General features: G+C 38.9%; 1 long non-coding RNA gene across 3 annotated transcripts; it reads right to left on the bottom strand.

Moving 5' to 3' along the window:
- Positions 1–1,852: 1,852 nt before the first annotated feature.
- LOC105376346 (uncharacterized) lies at positions 1,853–20,451 on the bottom strand. 3 transcript variants are annotated; one of them, XR_930539.2, is made up of 3 exons: positions 19,998–20,451; positions 14,813–14,912; positions 1,853–1,917 (listed from the first exon to the last, which is right to left on the bottom strand). It is a non-coding gene; the product is annotated as an uncharacterized LOC105376346 (long non-coding RNA). The 3 variants fall into 3 exon arrangements; XR_930538.3 differs by lacking the exon at positions 1,853–1,917 and adding an exon at positions 14,219–14,430; XR_007062034.1 differs by lacking the exon at positions 1,853–1,917 and having other exon boundaries at positions 14,219–14,912.
- Positions 20,452–20,856: the final 405 nt, after the last annotated feature.

Here is a 20,856-nt window from a genome sequence, read left to right as displayed (position 1 = left end):
TTTGTATTTCTAATATCTGTAGCCTTTGAACTATGAGCTATTATTAAATATTACCTTATTATGTAGCACTTAGCTCAGGATTCTTTTAGGCATATATATGTTTATCATCTCCATCATCTATCTATCTATCATCTATCTATTTTTCTATCTAGCTATCACTCTTTACCTATCATCTATCTCTATCATCTGTCTATCCATCTATCATTGTTTACCTATCATCTATCTAGCTATCACTATTTCCCTATCATATCTATTTATCTATCTATATCTATCTATTTATCTATCATCTATCTGTCTTATCCATCTATCATCTAGCTAGCTATCTCTGTTTACCTACCATATATCTCTATCATCTACCAACCTATCTCTATCTATAATCTATCACTATTTACCTATGATCTATCTCTTTCTATCATCTAATCTATCACTACTTACCTATTATTCATATCTATCTATCATCACTAGTTACCTATCATCTATGTCTATCAATTATCTATCTATCGTCTATCTATCACTGTTTACCTATCATCTATCACTATCATGTATCTAGCAAAGTAGCTATCACTATTTAGCTATCATCTATCTATCTTTATTATCTCTCTCCTATCTATCTCTATCATCTGTCTATCACAATTTACCTATCATCTATCTATCTCTGTCATCTACCTATGTATCTATCTATCTATCTATCTATCTATCACTGTTTACCTATCACCTATCCCTATCATCTGTCCATCTATGTAGCTATCTATCTATGTATCTATCTATCACTATTTACCTATCCTCTATCACCATCATCTAACAAGCTAGCTATTACTATTTAGCTATCATCTATCTAATCTCTGTCTATCTATCTATCTATCATCTATAAGCCCTACATATTTCTTCTTTACATTACCTCCCCCTGCTTAGCAATGGAGCTCAAGATATGGCCCAGTCTAAATCTCTAAAAGTAAACTAAAATAATTGGAACTGTTACCCAGAAAATTTAGAATCTCAGTTTTCTAGTTTGTTTTGATTCTGGAAACTCAACTTGCAAATGTAATACTACTACATACTATACGTAATACTACAGTGAAAAGCAGATTTATTTACCCCCCATAGTCTGCTACAATGGTTTTGTCCAGAGATGAGTGGCTAAAAGAGCTATTGAGAAAAAGTTTAAAGTATGTTCTGATAAGATCAAAATTCCACTGGGTGGTTTGTAAATCCTTTCTTCTAGTGCCATGCACAACGATCGCATTTAGATGCCTCTATGGCTGCCTATATTTAAATTCCTACTTCATATTCTTACTCAAAGTGAAATTCTCTAAATCTTTGGGTACATTTATCAAAACATACATTATTGTTGTGGACTTTCCTTCAGAATATTCTTATGTTCTCATCTTAAGAACCTAAAATATTTTTGGTTTATGTAATAGGCACACTTTAAAATATAATGTATTATTTAAACAATATTAATGATAATTTTATAATTTTCAGCAGGACAATGTGCTTCCCTAGGTGAGGAGAAAGAGTAGAGCCAACAGTAGTTATCTACTCTGCCTCTGAGCACACCTTGGAAATAAACCACCCATGAGAAGAAGTCCCCCTTCTGATGTGGGGGGTTTGGAAGAGACGCAGGGACAGTGTTCACAGTGGATGGAGAGAAGTAACTGCACTACGCAGTGGATGGGGCAAAGTAACTGCACCCGCCGGGAAGGAAGGAACTGCTGTGGACATGTTCTTCCTGTTGGGATGAGCCACCGCCAACTTGAACATTCATCGTCTATGGTGAAAGTAGACATTAATCATCAATAACTTGCCAAGTTCTCCCTCCAAATATATTCCAGACCCCAGTTGCCATAAACACCTTGTGGCCTCCTTCCTACACACAATGAGAATCCTGTATCTTGTTCCACGTTTAGCCTTGGCCACCTACAGACACAGAAGCACACTGTTAGTTCAAATTTATTGTCTGTGGGCCAAGGCACCATGCACATAATTAAATCAGTTTTTTAATACTTTAAAATCAAAAGGTAAGATATTTCAGACACTCGGTTATGAAATAGACTTTCTTAGAAAAAGGACATAATTCTCTTGAAATCTGCCCTTAGGTTTTCAGATATTAAATTGGAAGCTGGAATGAGAACACTCATTTGCAGGATTTCATGCAGGGATAATGAACTAACCCCCATCCTCTTGTTCTTCTCTGTGCTGTTAGACAAACAGTTAATTTTTTAAAATCATATCCCCACCTTGCATTGGATTTTATCTTTCTCATTTCCTCATTAAAAACCTCCACATTTTGTTAATAATACCAGAAAGTCACTACTAATCAATTCCCAGAAATCTCCAGTGAGATTTGCCTGTTTCTACTCAACTTCTGAATTCTGCAATGCCCAGGCTGTCTCTCTAGAGAGTCTGACCTGGGCTTTCCTGGCCTTACGCAAGTGATGGAGCTCATGACTCCAGCCATTAACCCCTTCCCTGGACTCCTGTCTGATTTCTTCCACTTTATCTTGTTCAAAGGATGCAGTAGGCAAAGAGGCTAAAATGGACACTTTGTAACAGACACACTGGAATTCCAGTGACTGTCCTGCTCCTTCCCTCTTCAGCCCTCTTGAGAAACTTAGTTAACCTCTTTAAAAAACTAATTTCCTCAAGTGGCAAAATAGGATGATGATAGTGACAGACACATAGATATTTCCTTCTGAGTTTATTTCTTCCTCTTGTTTCCTAAGTGTGGATTTTCCTTAAGATTCAGTTTGATCCTTCCTGAACCTACCTTTCAGAACCTTCTGGAGAGCTTTGTAAAAGCAAGCATCTTGGGGTTTTCAGCCCATTACTGAATCAGAATCCCTCCAGATGGGGCTGAGATCCATGTTTGAAACCCGTTGCTTTAGCTGACGTTGTGCCCTATTCATCCTTCCCGTCCCAGGGCTGTGACCGCTACCTCCATGGTGTGGCTCTGCACATTGGGGGTCCCACATACTGGGGGTCCCGCTCTCTCTGCCCCTGAACCAAATGCATCCTCAGGTCACACAGACCCTGCCTGTCTGCAGACTATTAGCACATATTTTCCTTTTCTGTCACATTTTATGTCAATTTGTTTAGCATAATATAATTCTATGCAATGTAATCTTCCAAGCATCCTGAAATAAAACCATGCCTCCCATATGCCTTCTACTTCTGGTAATAAAATTAATAGGAAGAATATGTTGATAAAACACACTTGCTTTTGTTAGAACCCAATCTATTTCTTTTTAATTGAGACAGGCCTTTACAACTTTAGCCTAGTTAGTGGGAAAGACAGTAAAATAAATATAATATAGTGTCTAGTGGTAGTTTTAAAAATGCTATCCATATCTGTACCTATCTATAAATGAAGCAAATTTTGATTCAGCCACTAGCTAAAAAACTGACTTTCATATGATTCTCTACAAATACCAAGACAGTCTCATAGCACCTTAATCTTTCTTGAGGGGTATTGATTTGTAGTCTCTTTGTCTATGTAATGAACTACTTCTGTCTGACCTCCAGAAATTCCTTTCAGTAACAGGAAAAGAGAACCTCATGAAAATAAAACAAAATAAAATGTTAAAAATGAAGAACTCTACTAAACGATAATTTATTTTAAAGCAAAGATTAACTTTATCACTATTTATATACCCACATTTTCTGTGCTTAATACCTATGCAAATAACTGATAAGATGAATGAATGTGTAAATATTATTTCTAAATGAAACCCAAAGAACAAGTTTTATGTGACTATAATATCTTTATTAGCAAATTCATAGAAGTTGAGCACCATTACTCTTTTACTGTGTTTAGTAGAATGAAAGAACATATGTATTTCAATGATGTGGCTGCACCAGGTGAATCGAGGTATTTTGCCAAGTGCCTGATTTACAAGGAGTCAACAAGGGGAAACTAAGGTTGATGAAGAAACTGCAGTGGATCTGTTAGAGCCAAGTCGGTGTACAACACGGTTGAGCGCAGGCTCTGGAGCCAGACTGAGTGGGTTCAAATCCCAATTCTGGTTTTCACTAGATGTAAGAGCTTGAACTAAATTCTTACCTTCCGCTTCTCGATTTTCTCATCCACAAAAAGGGAAAATGGGTCCTACCTCATGGGGCTGTTGAGAAGCTAAACACACGTCTGAAGCCCCTAGGTTGTTCTGGCATGAAGTCAGTGCTCTAGCCATTATTACCGATGTCATCACCATCATTGCATAAATGGTATTCCAGGGAATCCCAAAGCATAATAATACAGTATGACACCCAACAGGTGAGGTATAATTATTGGAGAGTACTCATGTGTTGTGATGCAGCCTCAATTACCGCAGCCAAGTTTTAGAAGTATTTCTTAAAAAAAAAAAAAAAAAAAAAAACTAAGGGAAGACATGTCCCCATTGTGAAAACTTATAAACACACCTTATTTATTCCTTTCATGACAGCATAGACAGAAGAGGCCTTGCAATGAACAGATTCAAAATATCTCGTCAGTAAAGCCTCAGCTCCACCTCAGTGCCCTTGTCCCCACTGTGTCTTTGCCGTGCTGAACTTGACAGGGGTGGGTATCTAGGGCGTTCATTCATGAGAGGTCCCTCGCTTGACAGGGGTGGGCATCTAGGGCGTTCATTCATGAGAGGTCCCTCGCTCTGTGTGCCGCATGGCTGTGAGAATCAGGGACTCATGGAGCCATGTGGACCAAGTACCAGGGAATCTGATGTCAATGGCTACAAGAAGATGTTTAAAAAAAGAGTGTGTGAGTTTTGAGGTGAGGAAGACATTCTTTTTTTCTCCCCAGAGCATTTCAGTGGAGCTGTAAGAACTAAATAACGAGTGATCAGCATGGTTTCAGGTAAGTCTGGTGGTGGATGTGGACTCCATGAAGTGGGGAAGGTAAATGTTTAAGTACATAAGCTGGTAGAACTCATGATAGGTAAGCTTTACCCAAGATGGTAGAGGCATTAAAACTGTTTATAGTGCCGGATGCAGTGGCTCACGCCTGTAATCCCAGCACCTTGAGAGGTCGAGCACCATGGATCACGAGGTCAGGAGTTCAAGACCATCCTGACCAACACGGTGAAACCCCGTTTCTACTAAAAATACAAAAAATCAGCCAGGAATGGTGGTGGGCCCCTGTACTCCCAGCTACTCAGGAGGCTGAGACAGGAGAATGGTGTGAACCCGGGAGGCGGAGCTTGCAGTGAGCCGAGATCACGCCACTGCACTCCAGCCTGGGCGACAGAGCGAGACTCTGTCTCAAAAAAAAAAAAAAAAAAAAAAGAGCAAAAATAAACTGTTTATAGTCCTTGAAAAGTTAGTCAAAAAATTATAAAATAGAGGAAAAGAACCGCAAGACTGACTGACTTCAAAGAGAAATAGCACAGTGGATGGGTGAAGAGCACTCCAGCCTGGGAGACAGAGTGGGACTCCGTCAAAAAAAAAAAAAAAAAAAACTTTTATTGTAGTAAAATATACATAGCATAAAATTTACCATAGGTACTTTAAAAAATATTTTTATTGTAGTAAAATACACACAGCACAAAATTTGCCATTTTGACCAGCATAAGTGTACACATCAGTGGCCTTAATTTCATTCACTATAGGTGCGGCCAACACCACCATCTATTTCCAAAATATTTTTATTGCCCCAGATGGAAATTCTGTTCCCACTAATCAATCATCTTCTGGCTGACTTTATTTCTCTGCGAACTTGTCTATTCCAGATATTTCATGGCAGTGTCTCATCTGTCCTTCTGTGTCCAGCTTATTTCACGTAGCATAATGTTTCCAAGCTTCACCATGCTGTGGTGTGTGTTAGAATGCCATCTCTTTCATGACTGAATAATATTCCATGGAGTATCCAGGCCACATTTTCTTTATCCATTCATCCATTGATGGACGTTTGGGTTCTGTGCACCTTTTGGTTATTGTGAATCATGCTGCAGTGTACTTTGATGTACAAGTATCTTTTTGAGTCTTGGTTGCCATTATTTTGGGGAATATGCCTAGTAGTGAAACTCTTGTGTGATATGGTAGTTCTATGTTTAAATTTTTGAAACTTCTAAACTGTTTTCCATAGCAGCTGTGCCATTTTACCTTCCCACCAGCAATGCATGGCCACAAATATTTCAGTAAGATTCCAGAAACAATGAAGAAAAACCATGAAGGAGAAACAGTAAAGGAAAAAGAAAAAAAGAAGATCATCATTTTCCACTTATCCTTCATCTATTTGTTTTTCCCTTGAGGTGTAAGAATTCTTCTTTGGAGTTGACAGATATAATCTAGAATAAGCTTTGTACCAGGAAACACAAACTTAGGGTGTTCACCTTCAGCATCTGTTCTTCTCTGTCTGATTCTATGTATACATACATGAACTCCATACAACATCATTTGAACATGCTACAGAGAGACACTTGGTTTTGTTCCAAGTTTCCTTCTCTATAAAGTGCAAATAATGTCTCCATTATTTCTCACAGGTATTATCAATATTCTTATCCAGTCTTCCCTCAAACACACGATTTTCTTATCATTCCAACATCAAAGTGACTCTCAGAATCACATCAAGTTTTCTTAATTCCTTTCAGTTTGTTAGGCTACAAATATTTTAGTAAGAGTCTATAAACAGACGAGGTAAAAGGAAATAATCTCACACACTTTCTACTCGTCGTTGCTGTCTTATGGGGTTAAGCTTTACTTTTGCATTGCATTTAATTCACATACGCATTTCAACACACCCACCTCTCAGATCTGTCTAACTGTAAAATTCAGAAGGAAAACATAAGAAACCAGACTTCCATAGTCTTAGGAAGTAATTTATAAAGAGTATAGAAATAACATATGTGAAATGAGTAATGTTGTCACAGGCACTAAGAAATAGGAATAATTATTTTTACTTTTTTTCTTAGCTTGAATTTGTTAAATGACTGCTTCTACCTTATAGTGTTTATGCATTAATGTAGAGAAATACTTCTAACATGAATGGACTCAATCTCTGGGGCTTAACCTGTCCACATTTACAACTATAATATTGCCATGGATAACTGACATTTTATTGATGTAATTATTTATCATTGAAATATTTATATTGTTTAATTTCTGTAACAATTTAATAAAGTACTCTCTTTTTATCCTTGAGAAAACTGAGGCCCAGTCTGATCAATTTTGGATCAACTTCCCCAGCTTACATCTCTAGCATGTGACAAAACGTAGCCTGGAGCCCAGGGCTGGGGATTGGAATAGTTCCAGTGCACACATCCACGTATCTCTATGGAAGCTAGGAGATCACACATGGAAAACATAGCCTTGATCCCAGGGCTGGGGACTGGAGTTCCAGTGCACACATCCGTGTGTCTCTATGGAAGGGAGGAGATCACACATGCAAAACACTGCCTGGATCCCAGGGCTGGGGACTGGAGTTCCAGTGCACACATCCACATATCTCTATGGAAGCTAGGAGATCACACATGCAAAACATAGCCTGGATCCCAGAGCTGGGGACTGGAGTTCCTGTGCACACATCCATGTATCTCTATGGAAGGGAGGAGATCGCACATGCAAAATGTAGCCTGGATCCCAGGGCTGGGGACTGGAGTTCCAGTGCACACATCCACATATCTCTATGGAAGGGAGGAGATTGCACATGCAAAACATAGCCTGGATCCCAGGGCTGGGGACTGGAGTTCCAGTGCACACATCCACATATCTCTATGGAAGCCAGGAGATCACACATGCAAAACACAGCCTGGATCCCAGGGCTGGGGACTGGAGTTCCAGTGCACACATCCACGTATCTCTATGGAAGCTAGGAGATCACACATGCAAAACATAGCCTGGATCCCAGGGCTGGGGACTGGAGTTCCAGTGCACACATCCACATATCTCTATGGAAGCTAGGAGATCACACATGCAAAACATAGCCTGGATCCCAGGGCTGGGGACTGGAGTTCCAGTGCACATATCCATGTGTCTCTCTAGAAGGTTGGAGATTACACATGCAAAACACATTTCAAAGATTTTTGATTGAAAGGATATATTGTTGTAATGTATTGCTATTATTGTGAAAAACAAAAGAATGTCATTAAGATTCCTTTTTCCCCATTATATTAAGCCTTCATTAGAAACATTGTCAATCTTCAAAAGACAGTGTGGTGATTCCTCAAGGATCTAGAACTAGAAATACCATTTGACCCAGCAATCCCATTACTGGGTATATGCCCAAAGGATTATAAATTATTCTACTATAAAGACACATGCACACGTATGTTTATTGTGGCACTGTTCACAATAGCAAAGACTTGGAACCAACCCAAATGTCCATCATGGATATAGACACCATGGAATACTATGCAGCCATATAAAAGGATGAGTTCATGTCCTTTGCAGGGACATGGATGAAGCTGGAAACCATAATTCTCAGCAAACTAACACAAGAACAGAAAAAGCAAACACCTTGTGTTCTCACTCATAAATGGGAGTTGAACAATGAGAACACATGGACACAGGGAAAGGAACATCACACACTGGGGCCCGTTGTGGGATGGGGGACTAGGGGAAGGGATACAATTAGGAGAAATACCTAATGTAGATGACAGGTTGATGGGTGCAGCAAACCACCATGGCACGTGTATACCTATGTAACAAACCTGCACGTTCTGCACATGTATCCCAGAACTTAAAGTATAATAAAAAATGTATTTACCAATCAGTTGATGGATAGAGATTCTAAAGTTGATCTTGATCACTACTTCTCAAAATACAGCTATTAGGTTGCTGCAAAAGTAATTGCACTTTTTACCATTAAATAATTAAATAATGACAAAAAACACAATTATTTTTGCACTAGCCTAATAACCTTCTTTTGGGCAGAGCGTATCGGGATCATTGTTGATAAAGATAGAATTTTTCTTTCAAAATGGAAACGAAAATAGACACAAAAAATAAACTGGTGATATTCCACCACATAGGAGTTCTGACCTCGTTCTTCGGCAACTACTTGCTAACTTAATTACAATTTTAAGATAAGAAAAACATTGAAGATAAATATTTACTCTAAGACCAGAATAGATAAATATTTACTCTAAGACTAGAATAGATAAATTGGATGGCTTGTAAAGTGTCTCAAAAAAGGCAATGTTTACATTACATAATATAAAACGTAAATTAGATAAAATTTATGTCACTCTCTTCTTTATTAAGTGAATTCTATTGTGCAGAATTTACTAATAATTGGTTTAAAGCAATATAATAATTGTAAAATCGATGATAGTTTATGCTCTTAATAATGACTGTGAAGGTCTAGAAAGTGTTTGAAGTATACCTAGAATCATAAATAATTAGATTGAATTTGTGGAGAGAAGTGGAAGACCTTAGAGATTAAATTAAAGACCTGTGTTCTAATCTTTATTTTTCCACTTAACTGGAGGAATTATTATTCGGAGTGAATTATTGATCTTATAAAGACCATTTTCTCATCTGTAAAATTAGAATGCCATGTAATTCTCCTGTGGAAATTAAATACTTTAATAACTGTAATACACTTAGCACAATGCCTGGCCATATACTTAGAACTCAGCACCTGCTGAAAGTTAAGTATTTATGAAGGGATGGCACACATTTCTTCCTGTATTTACTAGTGCTCTCCTTTTCATTCTAACAGGCTACAAAGTCCATCCCATGAATTTTCCATAAAACAAAAATTTTTCATTAAAATAGGAGTATTCAGTGATAGATAAGTAAGTTAAGAGCTAATTGATTGACTTAATTTTTAGCCCGATGGACTGATGTTGTGTAGAAGTACCTTCCCATGTATCCACCCACAGCACATTCTATCAAAATCCAGTATAACAAAGTACACCTTCTTCTTAACAGGCAATAAAACAGGAAATAGGTGTTCTGGCTTATTCTTAAAGTTGTGGATTTGTAGCATCCAAAGAATCTTTAAAGTTCTGCAATTGGAAATGCATACCTCTGAACAATTAACCAGAATGCACATGTTGTATCTAATTTTATGTCTCTCTCATGAATATGGAAGAACCGTGAAGGATCACCAGCCATTGGAGGCAAACTTCCAGCAAGAAACACAGAGATCCAAATAAAGAAGCAGAAAATAGCAGAACTCAGAGTAAAGGGAATGAATGTAGATGACAGAATAACACTTCAAAACTCTAATCCCCGCAGAATCAGAATACTTTGATAAAGGAAGGCAGAGAACAAACAAAAGGTCTTGGAAGTTAAAAATACGTTAGTGGGAATTTAAAGAAACAAATAAAGATTTGGAAGGTAGAGTTGGGGCCATATCCCAAAATCGAAGAAAACATTAAAGATGTAGCAAGGAGATGTTAAAACTATTTTAAAGAACTGAAAAGATCTATTTAATTAGTCTGGAAAATATAACTAATAATATTGGAGAAAGAAATAATAAAGAGAGGAAAGGGAATCACCAATGATATCAGATGAAAAATAATTAAAAAGATGGAGTCGATGGATTTTCAGATTTAATGTATTAAGGCAAATGCATTTAAAGACTACTTACACGAAGGGCATTATCATTATACCCAAATACTAGGGATTAAGCTGATAGAGAGTGAAAAGAAAAACAAAAACAAGACTTAATAGGCAAAAAAATTTGGAATAAGAATGACATCCAATTTCTTAACAATACTGTAATCTAGAAAGAAAATGCAGAATGGGGTTCACAATTCTCAGGGCAGCTTATTCTCAAGTTAAAATTTTATGTCGGCAAACTAGTAAGAAATTATTAAGTTAATATCTGTAATTAGAACCATGCCTGACATGAAACAAGGACTTTTTAGTGTTTGATAAATTAACAGAATTGATAAGTAAAGGAAGACTTCTTTATACATGAAAGGTATCAATAATTATCTTCCATTTCTTCTTCCACTAGAAGCAAATGTGGATCACAGAACGGAGGAGCAAATCAATAAGACGAAAGACATTGGATCCTGCAAGTGTTGGAGCTTACACAGAGACAAAAAGCATCCCAGGAAGACACAGAGGGCTGCAGGAAGTTCTGTGCCTCGGGACCAGAGAACTAGCAAACTGGAGCCAGGGGGTTCGCGTTCCCAGGAGTGTCTTCTCCTGAATGAGAGACTGGGAACTGACAGATTACCTTACCGTTTTCATCGTATTGAAAAACATTTAAAAATATAGATTTGTCTAAAATGCTGAGATTTAATGGCAGATTTGTCTCACACACAAAATATGAGATAAAAGGAAAAAAAAGAAGCAATTAAAATATGCCAGGAAAAAAGGGGATTGACAACGCATAGTGGTACACAGTCACGCTAATGTAAACGTCACGAAGGATTTAACCAAAACTTATGACACGGCTAACTTGAGAATATGGGAAAAGAAGCTATTGAAGTGTGTATGTTTAGGCAGGAGGAGGAATTCCAAGTGCTTCTGTCTTCTTCCACAGAATGGATTCTATAGCTGTGGTCTATGAGTGCCTCAGTACCTGACAGTATAAGCAAACCACTGAGAAATCTGGAAGTGTGTTTTGTGCCAAAAAAAAGCACAAGTAAGACTTTTGAACGGCTTTGACTCTGGAGATCAGTGCAGGGTGTGGGAGTGACACGGAGGCAGCATGAGACAGCTTGCATCTGCAATAATAGTTCACTTTCAAAACTGTATTATGTTAACAGCCATATCATTTTTCTGTTTTTCAAAAATATTTTAAATATGCGTGGATAAAATTGTGTACAATAGTCAAACCTATGAGACACATGATTTTTGTATAATTCTCATCAAAATTCAATAAAATGGGTATTTAAATGCTTCACAGATGAGAAAATAGAATCCTGATTTCTAAATTATTTGCCCTGGGTCATTGACTTGTAGTAAAAGTGGACCTTATATAGAGGTTTTAAAATATAAGAGACCCTGATATCTACAGAATGCTCAGTAACACTAAATGCATTTTTAAAAATACAAATACTTGTGTTTGTCAATTGAGTGAAGGACTTGGTTTAAGTCTTCAGCGTCTTTGCATATAATCTCTGAACCCATTACCATGTCTGTAAAGTTAAGGTAATATAAAACTGCACTATCAACTGGAGAAGGATGGGAAGAGTGTAAAACGAGATTACCTATTTTTAAGCTAGTGCAAAAATTGAAACGTCATGTTCTGCCCTTGCCTGTGTGGTCATCCCATCCCCTAAAAGGTAGATGGGAAACTCGCTGCCATGCCCAAAACCTCCTTAAGGCAGTGGAAAGAGGCTTAAAAACCACAGACAAATGTGAGGTTTCTATTTTCATCCATTTGCTCATGTATTGAATCAGCACTTGTAAAGTGTTTGAACACTGCTGGTGTGGCATCTCTACTGCCAGCACTGACAACTTTCCCAGGTCCCTCGGAAAACCTCTGAAATGAAGGCAGTAATGATTCTGTTTGGCATGTAGATATTTCTTCACCAGGTAAAACCCAGGAGCTCTGATGCTGGGCATTTACTGAGTAACAAATCTACAGCATTAGCAGTGTGCATTTCCTCTTGCATCCTGAAGTATCTTTGCTTATGAAAATCTGAAGGCAAGAGGCATGGGTGCTTCTGACAGCAATCCCCTTTGCAGGCAAGTGAAGAATCCTGCACCTGCATGAACCCTATCTGCCTGCCTCTGCTCCGAAGCACCCGCTTCCCCCCATCTGCCTGGACTCTGCTCCGAAGTGCCCACTTCTTCCCATCCACCTGGCCTCTGCTCCAAAGTGCCCGAGTCTTGTGAATTTATATTTAACATCCTTAGGAAGGATTTTCTCACATCTTGATGCATAATCCTGATCACAGGTCATTCACTTTTAAATTTTATTGTGCCAGGAACTTTTCTGAGCATTTTACTCATTTATCTTAACAACAATTTATCTTCACAATGATACCCTAAGGCAAACATTATACTATCATAAAGAAGAGAAAATTAAGACAAAACACAGATTAAGTAATAAACCCAAGGCAAGCTAGCTAGTAACTGGGGGAGGTAAGATTCAAATGCAAGTATCATAGCTCCAGACCCTGTGTTTCTGGATTGTATGCCTTAGAAATAAAGAATAGTTAAAATGAGAGATTGGACAGCCTGTAAATATAAAGTTAAAAACATGCATTTATTATGCTGGAATTTGTGTGGGTCAGAAATCCAGGCACAGCTGAGATGGACCCAGGGTTCTTCACAGCTGTGGTAAGATGTAGACCAGGGCTGAGGTCTCATCTGAAGGTTTGCCTGGGGATGGACCTGTGGATAAGCAGATTGGTTGTTGGCAGGATGCAGCTGCTGCAGGCTGGGAACTGAGGGCCTTAATTCCTAGCGGCTCTTGGCTGGAGGCCATCCCCAAAGAGGATGTAAGGTGAGAAGGCAGTAAAGAGGGTTGCTAGCAGCATGGAAACTGCAATTTTATGTGTTGCAATCTTAAATAAACTATCACCTTTGCCATACTTGTCAGGAGCAGGCACAGATCCGACTTGAAGGGAGGGGTTGCAGAAGGGCATGAATTCCAGAGTGAGGCATCATCAAGGCCATGCAGAGGCCTTGCTGCCCCGCCCAAGCACCTCATTTTGAGGATAATATGCTGAGGACTAATAAGTGAAGCCTAAAAAGATGCAGTTAGCTAATCTCAAATAGCCAAATGTCTATGTCTCCTATTTATTTCAGAGTTGATTTTTTTTCTAATAGTTTAATGGGTTCCTCTTTCCAACTCTGCAAACTCTTGTGGGTGATCAAACGTTTATGTGAAAGTAGCAAAACTAAGGTGGTAGTAGACATGTGAGTTTAAAAATAATAGGCTGGAGAAAACTTTCCTATAGCACTCAGGGATTTCTCACACTCACACATGTAGACAGGACAGACATGTGATCCTGCCCTTGTGTACCAGGCTTTTTGTTGTTGTTGCTTGTTTTTTCTTTTTTCCCCATTGCAGCAGCTTTTTATAGGTGTCAGCCTCAAAGAGAGTTATTATATCTTCACTTGCTGGCCAGGCGAAATCATTTCAGTTATACCTCACAGTGTCTGCCTTACCTCAAACTTACTATATCTATGAGCTCATATAAGTGCACTTGCTGTAGAAGCACAGCCTGTACTCTTCAGCCCCACAAAAATGCAATCATGGCTTCAGGAAATAGATAGTTCTATGCATGTCAGCCTCTCCTTATATAATACTCGAACCCAGCAGGATTATTTCAAATACACACACAGAAACATTTATATGAAGAATTAGATGGGCTTGTTTCAACAATAAAATCTTTAATATGACAAGCAATTGATTACAGATGCATCCATTTAACTGTGCTCCAAAATATTTGTCCTGAGGAAGGAGTCTGTGAATTCACCAAAAAGACAGAGCACAGCTGCCAGGAGTCTCCCAGAGATGTGATATGTCAGCCACCCTCCAGAACAGAAGGGCTATGCTTGTTGTTTTTATTCATGATCTTGTTACTTGAAATGAAACAAAATCACAAATACATAGACTTTCTAGGCTTAAAACAGGGCTGTGAGATTAGAGTATTATGGATTAATGTGCCCCTCTGGCTTATAAGAGCACAAGGCCAAATCCAGTTAAAAAAGAGAGAAGAGCAATCGTCCTCTGCTTGGGATAAACAAATCTGCTTCATCCATCTGGTGGGGCTCATATTAACACAAATCCCACCCAATAGGATTGGCCAATTTATTTCCAGTGATAAGAACAGCCCCACCTGATGCAAACCTGCTGGAAAAACATGCTGTCTTTTAGCCATATTCCTTCCACAAAGGAGCAGTACAGGGCATACAGTATAAAGACGGAAATGTTTAAAAGGGAAGAGGATGTTTAGAAACTCACCCAGTGCAGGAGAGGAGGGGAGGGTCATTTCAAAAGACGTCCTATAAATTTCAGATGTTTTTCTCACTCTGGGGTAAGTGATCGGAGATTGAATTGCTTCCTAGAGAGAAAATTCCACTCTGAGCTTACTTCTCTTTTCGTCTGCATTTATATTTATAAGAGGCATCAGAGTGCTGGGAAGAACTGAAGCATGGCTGAAAAGTTGAACAGATACTGTCTCCATATCATGGTTTAATACACCGATAAACTGACCATTGAATTCAGTCACCATTCAAAAGAAGAAGCTTGAGGAAGTGAGCACATCGAACCTGCCCTGATTTTAGCATAACACACACTTAGGAGACTCCAGAAAGATGGCAGAGGAACTGCAGCCTCAGGAAGCCAACCAACCCCTGCTCATGAAATTTAACTACCTTCAAAGATGATCAAGCCTTGGCCAGGCAAGCTGGCTCACGCCTGTAATCCCAGCACTTTGGAAGGGCCAGGTGGGTGAATCTCAAGGTCAGGAGTTCAAGACCAGGCTGGCCAACATGGTGAAACTCTATCTTTACTAAAAATACAAAATTAGCCTGGCGTGATGGCGGGCACCTGTAATCCCAGCTATTCAGGAGGCTGAGGCAGGAGAATCGCTTGAACCTGGGAAGCGGAAGCTGCAGTGAGCCGAAATCATGCCACTGCACTCCAGCCTGGGTAATAGAGCAAGACTCCACCTCAAAAAAAAAAAAAAAAGATTATCAAGTCTCATGAAGCATAAAAATGGCATTAATACATGTATAATACGTTAATACATTGAATTAGGAATATTATTAGATTAATATGTACAAAAAGTGAAATGCAACTAATTTGACCCCTAAATTGTAGGATATATTAGGATATTATTTTTTGATTAAAAAAAAACCACCATGATCTACCTGATTCATAAAATAATTTGTATTTTATTTTACTATAATTCTTGTTTGCCTACCCAATCACATCCAGAAACTGGCATGAAGAAATGGTTTGTTCTTCATAATAGATAAAGATATATAATAATAATCGATTAATTGATTTATTAATGTATAGCATTTAGTGAATACCTATTGTTTGCCAATCACTGGTTTGACAATAGGCTTCAAATTCAGCAAGAGAAATCGAGTCTCTGATTTCATCCTGTTTATAGTAAAATATGGGCAGTGAAAAATAAACTAGAAATTAGAGTATTAACTCCACTGCAAGGAGTGTGTGTGTGCACACGTGTGCATGTGTGTGTGAGTGTATGTGTGTCTCTGCTTACACATCTTTGAGTAGACTGAATTTGTTATATACATGTGTGTGATTCTCTATTCAAATATTTGTGCACTTAATTAGATTATTTGACCATTAAGAACTAAGAACTTATTATTGTAATGTAGTAACTACAGAGATGTGAAATGATTTTTAAACGCATATGAGTCTTTCAAGTTACAAACTCAAGTATGCAAAACATAATTTTTATACTGAATATAATGTGTACATTAACTCCCATTCCCCTGATCTTGCAGATTTTAATCTTAATTAATTCAGAAATGTCTGAATCAATTTGTGGTTTTCCTAGTTTGGAATTACCATCCCAACTCACTTTTCCTCAGGCATACTACATTTTCCTCTAAAATTTATTTCTTTTTTCTAATCAACTCCTAATTAATTTAGCCCTAGGATGGAAAAAACTGATGGTCAGCTATATCAGGCATTTGGCCCAAATTTTTGTGTTTTTTTGTTTGTTTGTTTGTTTATGACAAAAACTGTGATAGTGACAATTAAAAAAATAAGATTTTGAGGTTTTGAGACTCAATGGTCCTTTTTATCTACAGCTCTCCTGAGAACTTCAAAATGCAACTCTGAATCTCAAAAGATTACAAAGAATTCTTCTTCGTTTTGTTGTTCTGTGGCCGATTTCCTTCCTGCATCTGTGTATGGAAATAGGGCCAACTCGGAGAGCTGCACAGAATCACAATGACCAATGCAAACACACTGGCCAACAACCCAAACGTGGTCCTTTCACCAACTCCATTTAAAGCAGTTGCCTACAAGTCCCAGAGAAGGAAGATAATGAATGAATCATGACATAAACAGAAAAGGGGATGCTTCTCCATTGGTAAAGTTGTGGAAGATTATTTGGTGGGTTTAGCGATGCTCATTACACATCACTCATTATGAAGGCAATTGTGCAACTGGAGGAGCCAATGTATTATAATAGCTGGGGAGGCCGGGAATGGTGTCCCCTGCCTGTAACCTCAGCTACGTGGGATGCTGAGGTGAGAGGATTGCTTGAGCCTGGGAGATGGAGGCTGCACTGAGCCGTGGTTGCACCACTGCACTGCAGCCTGGGTAACCCACTGAGGCCCTGTCTCAGAAAAGAAAAAATAAATAAACAACTGGAGTAAGTACTCTGTCCCCAGCAACACTTGCCTCTAGGTTTTGTGAGGCAGACTATCTGGAATTTCTTTTTTGACTGTTTCTGTATTTTCCAAGCTACGTATAGTCATTTTATAATACTTAGCCATTAAATATATCAAACATCATTTCTTCCCCATCATCTTATGCTACAGAGTTAACATTACCTACTGAAACGACTTGGCTCTGTGTTTCCACCCAAAACTCATCTCAAATTGTAATCCCCCTATGCCTCGGAGGCACCTGGAGGGAGGTGATTAGATTATGGCACAGTTTCCCTGATGCTATTCTTATGATAGTGAGTGAGTTCTCAGGAGAACTAATGGTTTTAAAGTGTGGCACTCTCTCTTCCACCATAGAAGACATGCCTTGCTTTCCCTTTGCCTTCCACCATGATTGGAAGTTTCCTGAGGCCTCCCAGACATGTGGAACTGTGAGTCAGTTAAACCTCCCTTCTTTATAAATTACTCAGAGAGTACATTTACAGCAGTGTGAGAACAAACTCATAAGCCTACTATCCTACTGCAATGCCTGGATTATTCTTCATCATGACCCCTTTTCATAAAAAAAAAAAAAAACAGTTTGTGGAGGATCTAAGAAAATCCACAGGAAAGCAAAGTGATGAAGGTTTCACGCTGATGTAAAAGTTCACATTTTATCTGACTTATTTTAGATGTATCTTTTTTTTAGCTAAACATTTGTGCACATCATCAGTTCTACATTTAGTTTAACCATGTAATTATAAAATATATCTCCACATAGAAAGCATTCACTCTGATTTGTCATGCTTTGTAATATGGGACATTTTAAATTGCATGTCTCTGTTGCTACCTTTTCCATTGCTTTACCTAGAACTAGTCACATGGTTAGCACACTAAAGCAGCATACCTTTCAGTAGCATATGTACTGGAAATAACCTCATTAATACTTGCATACATGGTTTACATTAACCTCCAAGATAAAGACAAATACAGCAAATATGGGACATCAGACCTTATTCTAATGCCCAGACAAAGGTCCACCAGCTGGACAATTCACCTCTTAGTGGCTCCACATGTTTCTTAAACCAGATGCCAATTATCTTCTCAGTACTGGGCAGTGGGCAAGAAACATGGAAAAGGATGATTTTTTTTTAAAAGTAACAATTGACTGACCCACTGATTTTACGTGATAGTCTACAAAAAAAAACTTATTTAAAAAATAAATATAGAAAACATATAAAAGCACAATCCTGTGCATATGTTGTGTGTGTGACAGAGAGCAATTTTTTACTAAATTTATTCACACTGTATGCACTATTACATCACTGCAAGGTTTTCTGTTGGCACATTTTTCTTTTTCTTTTTGTTTTTTTTTTCTTTGTAACCACAGAACATTCTACTATATAAACAGGGTTTTATTTTTGTTCCCTATTGGAGAATATTTTGTTCTTTCCCATACTGTAATGAATATTTTTTGTTTCTGTTTTCTGCTGCCTGAATCTCATCCCCAGAACTTTTATGAGATCTTGTTCTTAGATCTTACACCTGGCCGCCTTTTCCTCTCATCTAGTCACCTTGAGCTGACCTCAGAGGTGCATTCTCATGAAAGTCCTTGCTGACCACCTAGCCTCTTAATCTCCAGTTCCCTGTTAGATTTTTCTTCATAGCAATTTTCCTTATGAGAAATCACTGATGTTCATTTTTATAATGTTTTCCTAACTGGAATGGAGGCTTTATGGTTTTCTTATCATTACTCAATAAATGTTGTTTGGGTTTATGAAGAGCCTACCTGTGTACGGTTTAGGGCTGAGGGGCAGTGGTCTTAAAGCCGAAGTCACTAACAGCTACAGCTCTCTTCTAGGGTCCAAAAGCATTCATAATACTCAGTTCCAAAATGAGGCAAAGGTAGGCAATAGCATCAATAGTAGCTGATAATTCCTGAGGACTCACTGAGCCCAAGTCCTGGGCACAGAATCCTCACAGCAACAAATCAGCATGTATCTGCCATTATTCTTCCCCCACAGCAGACTGTACTCTACACATACAATGAAACTCATTTTCTAACCCACATTCTCATGTGTAATATGATCTTTCTAGACATCCATCAAGATTTAGAGTTCATTTTTTTTAATCTCCTTTAGCCTGTGGGAGTCCTACACTGATTTGGTGACTTAGAAGATGGTAGAAGTAACTTTGCCACTAACCTTCTAGAAGCCCCTCCCTCTTGGAAAGATTGGTCTAGGAATAATTCCTTTTGGAAGCCAGAAGCCATGGTGTGAGAAGAACAAGCTCTTCCAGGAGGCTGTGCTTTGAGTAATGGCTAGGATCACTTGTCTGAGAGAAGCTGTCGTGGATGCAAAACCACGACATCAGGTTGCTCCACCTCCAGCTGCCATCTGACTGCAACCACCGGAGCCCTCAGCAAAAACCACCCTGCTGAGCCCAGTCCACCCAAAGAACCACTGGTGGTAACAATAAACAGCTGTTTTAAACCACTGGGTTTTGGAGTGGCTTGTGGGTAACAATAGATAAGTGGAAAATAATTTGGTATTTTCAATGGGTGCTGTGAAAATGAAAACCCAGAACAATTGACACTGGCCTTGATTCCAACAGGCAGGCAAGAGAGGGAAGACTTTGCAGAGGTTGGTGGTGGAGGTCTGCAGGACAGGGGTGAAGTGGCTGTACGAGGCTGGAGAAGAAAGGGTTCAGAGTTCTCTGAAAGAGCAATTAGCAAACCTATATGTGGGCTGCAGTAATAACCGATAAAAAGGGTATGCAATGAACATTCAAACCTGGCTAAGCTGCATCCAGGCAGAAGGTAGCGAGCATCACTAGGAGCATCACCAGAGTCTTCTCGTGTCCCAAGACGCAATACAAAAAGTGGAAGCTTTGTGATGCACTGGTAAATATGCAGAACATCTCTATTTACAGGTGAGGAAACCAAGACTCAAACAGAAAACTGACAGGTATTGATCATCCCCAATGTTAGGTTCTTGGCCAGGCATTTTTTTCTCATTTAACTGCCTGGAGCAGCATGTAATTTTGTCCCCATGTAACAGAAGAAGAGCCATGTATGCCACAAGAAAGCAGAAGAACCAGGTCCACACATCCACGTCCTTGGATTCAACCTGGCCTCACCGGCTCCAAAACTGACATCATGATAAACTGTTGGGGGAGTGGGGAACCATAACCAGATCCTCTGCTGCTGAACACTGTTTCAGCCAGTGGGCTACTTTTCCTGCAAATGCCAAGCAGACGCCTATACCTGCCTCTGCTGATTGTCGGAGTAATGTGCACATCACAATGGACCATGCAGACGCCTATACCTGCCTCTGCTGATTGTCGGAGTAATGTGCACATCACAATGGACCATGCAGACGCCTATACCTGCCTCTGCTGATTGTCGGAGTAATGTGCACATCACAATGGACCATGCAGACGCCTATACCTGCCTCTGCTGATTGTCGGAGTAATGTGCACATCACAATGGACCATGCAGACTCCTATACCTGCCTCTGCTGATTGTCGGAGTAATGTGCACATCACAATGGACCATGCAGTTCCTCGACCATTAACACCATACCACGTCTCCATGCAGAAATGCCAGCTAAAACCACCGCACAGCCATGTCTCCGTGATTATAAGCAAAAT

Source organism: Homo sapiens, chromosome 10 (assembly GCF_000001405.40).
Source record: "Homo sapiens chromosome 10, GRCh38.p14 Primary Assembly".
Lineage (NCBI taxonomy): Eukaryota > Metazoa > Chordata > Mammalia > Primates > Hominidae > Homo > Homo sapiens.
This window is presented reverse-complemented; position numbering and strand designations above follow the sequence as displayed.